Consider the following 8412-nt stretch of genomic DNA (forward strand, 5'->3'; position numbering starts at 1 on the left):
ACTGCACCCGGCCTCAGCATTTTTTAAGTTTATTTCCACTAATCGTCCCATGGCCCACACCTGCTCTTCACGTCTTGATTTTGAACTCAGAGTTTCTTCAGGATTTCCCAAAAGGAATGCTGCTAATACTTGTTTACTTTTTTTGTTTTCTATTCAAATAAATCCTATCTGATTTCAGTCCTCTAGGAATTCTTTAGAATTTTTGATCCACCAATGTCCCCTTTCCCCTCACATCAGACAGGTAATGTGCCAACATGGTAATAAGGTTTGAGAAAGGCACATCTTGAGTGTAAAACACAGTCATCATTCTTACAAACCACAAAAGGATCTGATGACACCTTTTTACAGTATCCTTTTTTAAAAAACTGCTTACATTTTAGTGAAATGTTACAAAGAAATAAAGAAGACAAATGTGCTCAGTCCATCAGCAGAGATCAATGTAATCAGGCTACTATCTTGAGTTAGAATCTACTTTTCCTGTGAATTTTTTCCTCCAAACTTTGAGGTTTTGTAGCAATACCAAAAGGATCTACAGAGTTTCAGACAAACGGCTTATTATATACTTGAAGGTATTTTTTTTTTACATTTCATTTGACTGATGTTTTGAATTATGTTATCTTGAAAATAAAAAATGAAAAAAATTATGGTGTTCATATACTTATTTGTACTGTTCAATACTTTTGCAATGTCAAAATAAATATAATTCAATTATTTCCACAAAAAATGGCTATTAAGTTTCATGAGAAACTACATATTTATATATACTCTCTAAATATTTATGTCTTTTTTTTTTTTTTTACACAGAAGTTAGGGCCTGCGCAAATTGTTATATAACAATTGAAGATGGCCAAATAGGAAGAGCTCCAGTCTACAGCTCCCGGCATGAGCGATGCAGAAGACGGGTGATTTCTGCATTTCCAACTGAGGTACCAGGTTCATCTCACTGGGGAGTGCTGGACAGTGGGTGCAGGACAGTGGGTGCAGCGCACCGTGTGTGAGCCGAAGCAGGGCAAGGCATTGCCTCACCTGGGAAGCACAAGGGGTCAGGGAATTCCCTTTCCTGGTCAAAGAAAGGGGTGACAGACGGCACCACCTGGAAAATTGGGTCACTCCCACCCTAATACTGTGCTTTTCTGACGAGCTTAAAAAACAGCACACCAGGAGACTATATCCCGCACCTGGCTCGGAGGGTCCTAAGCCCACGGAGCCTCGCTCATTGCTAGCACAGCAGTCTGAGATCAAACTGCAAGGTGGCAGCAAGGCTGGGGGAGGGGCGCCAGCCATTGCTCAGGCTTGAGTAGGTAAACAAAGCAGCTGGGAAACTTGAACTGGGTGGAGCCCACCACAGCTCAAGGAGGCCTGCCTGCCTCTGTAGACTCCACCTCTAGCGACAGGGCACAGACAAACAAAAGGCAGCAATAACCTCTGCAGACTTAAATGTCCCTGTCTGACAGCTTTAAAGAGAGTAGTAGTTCTCCCAGCACGCAGCTTGAGATCTGAGAACGGGCAGACTGCCTCCTCAAGTGGGTCCCTGACCCCCGAGTAGCTTAACTGGGAGGCATCCCCCAGTACGGGCGGACTGACACCTCACACGGCTGGGTACTCCTCTGAGACAAAACTTCCAGAGGAACGATCAGGCAGCAGCATTTGCAGTTCACCAATATCTGCTGTTCTGCAGCCACTGCTGCTGATACCCAGGCAAACACAGTCTGGAGTGGACCCCCAGTAAACTCCAACAGACCTGCAGCTGAGGGTCCTGACTGTTAGAAGGCAAACTAACAAACAGAAAGGACATCCACACCAAAAACCCATCTGTACGTCACCATCATCAAAGACCAAAGGTAGATAAAACCACAAAGATGGGGAAAAAACAGAGCAGAAAAACCAGAAACTCTAAAAATCAGAGCGCCTCTCCTCCTCCAAAGGAACGCAGCTCCTCATCAGCAATGGAACAAAGCTGGATGGAGAATGACATTGACGAATTGAGAGAGGAAGGCTTCAGAAGATCAAACTACTCCGAGCTAAAGGAGGAAGTTAGAACCAATGGCAAAGAAGTTAAAAACTTTGAAAAAAAATTAGATGAATGGATAACTAGAATAACCAATGCAGAGAAGTCCTTAAAGGACCTGATGGAGCTGAAAACCACGGCACGAGAACTACGTGATGAATGCACAAGCCTCAGTAACCGATGCGATCAACTGGAAGAAAGGGTATCAGCGATGGAAGAAGAAATGAATGAAATGAAGCGTGAAGAGAAGTTTAGAGAAAAAAGAATAAAAAGAAATGAACAAAGCCTCCAAGAAATATGGGACTATGTGAAAACACCAAATCTACGTCTGATTGGTGTACCTGAAAGTGACGGGGAGAATGGAACCAAGTTGGAAAACACTCTGCAGGATATTATACAGGAGAACTTCCCCAATCTAGCAAGGCAGGCCAACATTCAAATTCAGGAAATAAAGAGAATGCCACAAAGATACTCCTCGAGAAGAGCAACTCCAAGACACATAATTGTCAGATTCACCAAAGTTGAAATGAAGGAAAAAATGTTAAGGGCAGCCAGAGAGAAAGGTCGGGTTACCCACAAAGGGAAGCCCATCAGACTAACAGCTGATCTCTCAGCAGAAACTCTACAAGCCAGAAGAGAGTGAGGGCCAATATTCAACATTCTTAAAGAAAAGAATTTTCAACCCAGGATTTCATATCCAGCCAAACTAAGCTTCATAAGTGAAGGAGAAATAAAATACCTTACAGACAAGCAAATGCTGAGAGATTTTGTCACCACCAAGCCTGCCCTAAAAGAGCTCCTGAAGGAAGCAGTAAACATGGAAAGGAACAACCAGTACCAGCCACTGCAAAAACATGCCAAATTGTAAAGACCATCGAGGCTAGGAAGAAACTGCATCAACTAACAAGCAAAATAATCAGCTAACATCATAATGATAGGATCAAATTCACACATGACAATACTAACCTTAAATGTAAATGGGCTAAATGCTCCAATTAAAAGGCACAGACTGGCAATTGGATAAAGAGTCAAGACCCATCAGTGTACTGTATTCAGGAAACCCATCTCACGTGCAGAGACAAACATAGGCTCAAAATAAAGGGATGGAGGAAGATCTACCAAGCAAATGGAAAACAATAAAAAGGCAGGGTTTGCAATCCTAGTCTCGGATAAAACAGACTTTAAACCAACAAAGATCAAAAGAGACAAAGAAGGCCATTACATAATGGTAAAGGGATCAATTCAACAAGAACTAACTATCCTAAATATATATGCACCCAATACAGGAGCACCCAGATTCATAAAGCAAGTCCTTAGTGACCTACAAAGAGACTTAGACTCCCACGCAATAATAATGGGAGACTTTAACACTCCACTGTCAACATTAGACAGATCAACGAGACAGAAAGTTAACAAGGATAACCAGGAATTGAACTCAGCTCTGCACCAAGCAGACCAATAGACATCTGCAGAACTCTCCACCCCAAATTAACAGAATATACATTCTTTTCAGCACCACACCACACCTATTCCAAAATTGACGAAATAGTTGGAAATAAAGCACTCCTCAGCAAATGTAAAAGAACAGAAATTATAACAAGCTGTCTCTCAGACCACAGTGCAATCAAACTAGAACTCAGGATTAAGAAACTCACTCAAAACCACTCAACTACATGGAAACTGAACAACCTGCTCCTGAATGACTACTGGGTACATAACGAAATGAAGGCAGAAACACAGATATTCTTTGAAACCAACAAGAACAAAGACACAACATACCAGAATCTCTGGGACACATTCAAAGCAGTGTATAGAGGGAAATTTATAGCACTAAATGCCCACAAGAGAAAGCAGGAAAGACCTGAAATTGACACCCTAACATCACAATTAAAAGAACTAGAGAAGCAAGAGCAAACACATTCAAAAGCTAGCAGAACGCAAGAAATAGAACTAAGATCAGAGCAGAACTGAAGGAATTAGAGACACAAAAAACCCTTCAAAAAATCAATGAATCCAGGAGCTGGTTTTTTGAAAAGATCGATGAAATTGATAGACCGCTAGCAAGACTAATAAAGAAGAAAAGATAGAAGAATGAAATAGACGCAATAAAAAATGACAAAGGGGATATCACCACTGATTCCACAGAAATACAAACTACCATCAGAGAATACTATAAACACCTCTACGCAAATAAACTAGAAAACCTAAAAGAAATGGATAAATTCCTCGACACATACACCCTCCCAAGACTAAACCAGGAAGAAGCTGAATATCTGAATAGACCAATAACAGGTTCTGAAATTGAGGCAACAATTAATAGCTTACCAATCAAAAAAAGTCCAGGACCAGATGGATTCACAGCCGAATTCTACCAGAGGTACAAGGAGGAGCTGGTACCATTCCTTCTGAAACTATTCCAATCAATAGAAAAAGAGGGAATCCTCCCTAACTCATTTTATGAGGGCAGCATCATCCTGATACCAATGCCTGGCAGAGACACAACAAAAAAAGAGAATTTTAGACCAATATCTTTGATGAACATTGATGCAAAAATCCTCAATAAAATACTGGCAAACCGAATCCAGCAACACATCAAAAAGCTTATCCACCATGATCAAGTGGGCTTCATCCTTGGGATGCAAGGCTGGTTCAACATATGAAAATCAATAAACGTAATCCAGCATATAAACAGAACCAAAGACAAAAACCACATGATTATCTCAATAGATGCAGAAAAAGCCTTTGACAAAATTCAACAACCCTTCATGCTAAAAACTCTCAATAAATTAGGTATTGATGGGACATATCTCAAAATAATAAGAACTATCTATGACAAACCCACAGCCAATATCATACTGAATGGACAAAAACTGGAAGCATTCCCTTTGAAAACTGGCACAAGACAGGGATGCCCTCTCTCCCCATTCCTATTCAACATAGTGTTGGAAGTTCTGGCCAGGACAATCAGACAGGAGAAGGAAATAAAGGGCATTCAATTAGGAAAAGAGGAAGTCAAATTGTCCCTGTTTGCAGATGACATGATTGTATATTTAGAAAACCCCATCATCTCAGCCCAAAATCTCCTTAAGTGGATAAGCAAATTCAGCAAAGTCCCAGGATACAAAATCAATGTGCAAAAATCACAAGCATTCTTATACACTAATAACAGACAAACAGAGAGCCAAATCATGAGTGAACTCCCATTCACAATTGCTTCAAAGAGAATAAAATACCTAGGAATCCAACTTACAAGGGATGTGAAGGACCTCTTCAAGGAGAACTACAAACCACTGCTCAATGAAATAAAAGAGGATACAAACAAATGGAAGAACATTCCATGCTCATGGATAGGAAGAATCAATATCGTGAAAATGGCCATACTGCCCAAGGTAATTTATAGATTCAATGCCATCCCCATCAAGCTACCAATGACTTTCTTCACAGACTAGGAAAAAACTATTTTAAAGTTCATATAGAACCAAAAAAGAGCCCGCATTGCCACGTCAATCCTAAACCAAAAGAACAAAGCTGGAGGCATCATGCTACCTGACTTCAAACTATACTACAAGGCTACAGTAACCAAAACAGCATGGTACTGGTACCAAAACAGAGATATAGACCAATGGGACAGAACAGAGGCCTCAGAAATAACACCACACATCTACAACCATCTGATCTTTGACAAACCTGACAAAAACAAGAAATGGGGAAAGGATTCCATATTTAATAAATGGTGCTGGGAAAACTGGCTAGCCATATGTAGAAAGCTGAAACTGGATCCCTTCCTTACACCTTACACAAAAATTAATTCAAGATGGATTAAAGACTTACATGTTAGACCTAAAACCATAAAAACCCTAGAAGAAAACCTAGGCAAAACCACTCAGGACATAGGCATGGGCAAGGACTTCATGTCTAAAACACCAAAAACAATGGCAACAAAAGCCAAAATTGACAAATAGGATCTAATTAAACTAAAGAGCTTCTGCACAGCAAAAGAAAACACCATCAGAGTGAACAGGCAACCTACAGAATGGGAGAAAATTTTTGCAACCTACTCATCTGACAAAGGGCTAATATCCAGAATCTACAATGAACTCAAACAAATTTACAAGAAAAAAACAAACAACTCCATCAAAAAGTGGGTGAAGGATATGAACAGACACTTCTCAAAAGAAGACATTTATGCAGCCAAAAAACACATGAAAAAATGCTCATCATCACTGGCCATCAGAGAAATGCAAATCAAAACCACAATGAGATACCATCTCACACCAGTTAGAATGGTGATCATTAAAAAGTCAGGAAACAACAGGTGCTGGAGAGGATGTGGAGAAATAGGAACACTTTTACACTGTTGGTGGGACTGTAAACTAGTTCAACCATTGTGGAAGTCGGTGTGGCGATTCCTCAGGGACCTAGAACTAGAAGTACCATTTGACCCAGCCATCCCATTACTGGGTATATACCCAAAGGATTATAAATCATGCTGCTATAAAGACACATGCACACATATGTTTATTGTGGCACTATTCACAATAGCAAAGACTTGGAACCAACCCAAATGTCCAACTATGATAGACTGGATTAAGAAAATATGGCACATATACACCATGGAATACTATGCAGCCATAAAAAATGAAGAGTTCATGTCCTTTGTAGGGACGTGGATGATGCTGGAGACCATCATTCTCAGTAAACTATGACAAGGACAGAAAGCCAGACACTGCATGTTCTCACTCATAGGTGAGAATTGAACAATGAAAACACATGGACACAGGAAGGGAACATCACACACCGGGGCCTGTTGTGGGGTGGAGGTGGGGGGGATAGCATTAGGAGATATACCTAATGCTAAATGACGGGTTAATGGGTGCGGCACACCAGCATGGCACATGTATACATATGTAACAAACCTGCACGTTGTGCACATATACCCTAAAACTGAAAGTATAATAAAAACAAACAAACAAAAAAACAATTCAAAAGAAATGGAGGTCCTTAAACTGAGAGGCCTTTTATCGGGAAACAAACTCTGATACTACTTAATGTTACTGTGGGTTCAGTGACAGGCACAGCCATGTGCTATTTTATAAAGATTTGCATCTGTTCAAATTTTCTGAAAAGTAATTTGATAATCAATTTTAGAACTTAAAAATATGTGTGATTTCAGATGTAGTAATTCCATTTCTAGGAATCTTTACTAAGGAAATCGTCAGAAATTTAGTCAAAGATACACTTTTTTTAATGTAAACATACAACAATAGGAATAAAGAAATTATGATACATAGATGTGGAAGAATATTACGCAGCAATAAAAGATTAGGTTTTAAAATATTTTTAATAATCTAGAGAAGCCCTAGAGGTACTGCCAAATGTTACATGATTAGGGGAGGGTAAAGGGTGGGGGGAAAACAGGAATCAGAAAGGTACAGAGGGTATTTTAACTACATCTATAACTAAAAGACTGGAGGGGCACGCACCCAATCTTAACATCAGTTAGCTAAGTGGTAAGTTTAAGAATAATTTTAACTTTCTTTCTTGCCCTTCACTATATTTTCTCTTTTTCCCTCTAAAATTAGTAGTATCAATTGTCAGAAAATAATATATTTTAAAATTTAAGGAGGGCATAATAGCAAGTTTCAGTTGTATAAAAAGTCTGTGGAGGCAATGGATTTCTGGTTATATGACTAGAAATATGGATAAATCTGGAGCTGCCTACAAGTGAGTGAATAATTATCATTTCGATTTTTAAAAAATTTAAATTTAAATTTTCATTTTTTTGTGACAGGGTCTTGCTTTGTCTCCCAGGCTGGAGTGGAGTAGCATGATATCACGATTCACTGCAGGCTCAACCACATGGGCTCAAGCAATCCTCCCACCTCAGCCTTCTAAATAGCTGGGACAACAGGCACGTGCCACCATGCCTGGCTAATTTTTACAAATTTTAATAGAGACGGAGGTCTCACCATGTTGACCAGGCTGATCTCGAACTCCTGAGCTCAAGCCATCCTCCTGCCTCAGCCTCCTAAAGTGCTGGGATTACAAGTGTGAGCCACTAAGCCTGGTTTCAAATGTGTTCCTTTGATATTAATGGTCTCAGTTGGGCATTTGAGTAGATCTGTAATCTACACAGCAGACAAGATATGCCTGGCCTCACTGGTTCCACCTAAAAATAGATGATATATGTTTTTTATTTGAAGAAAAACCAGATGCTTTAGATACCAGGGCCAACGATGCAGAAGACCGTGCTTTGCTATGAAATACCAAGGGTCTGACTTCTCTGGCCAGGGAATTCTGCCTCCTCATAGTGTTGATTACGGGGCCCCTCGATTACAGTCAAGGCTTTTATGATAAGGAAACTTAGATTTGTTTGGATGATCAGAATTTTTTTTTAAATTCAT

The 8412-nt window shown here is 39.9% G+C and overlaps 1 pseudogene; it reads right to left on the minus strand.

The window, feature by feature from the left end:
* Positions 1-231: 231 nt before the first annotated feature.
* On the minus strand, positions 232-328 carry LOC124900912 (uncharacterized; annotated as a pseudogene).
* Between the last annotated feature and the right edge of the window lie 8084 nt (positions 329-8412).

The sequence above is a fragment of the Homo sapiens genome, chromosome 4, assembly GCF_000001405.40.
Source record: "Homo sapiens chromosome 4, GRCh38.p14 Primary Assembly".
NCBI lineage: Eukaryota > Metazoa > Chordata > Mammalia > Primates > Hominidae > Homo > Homo sapiens.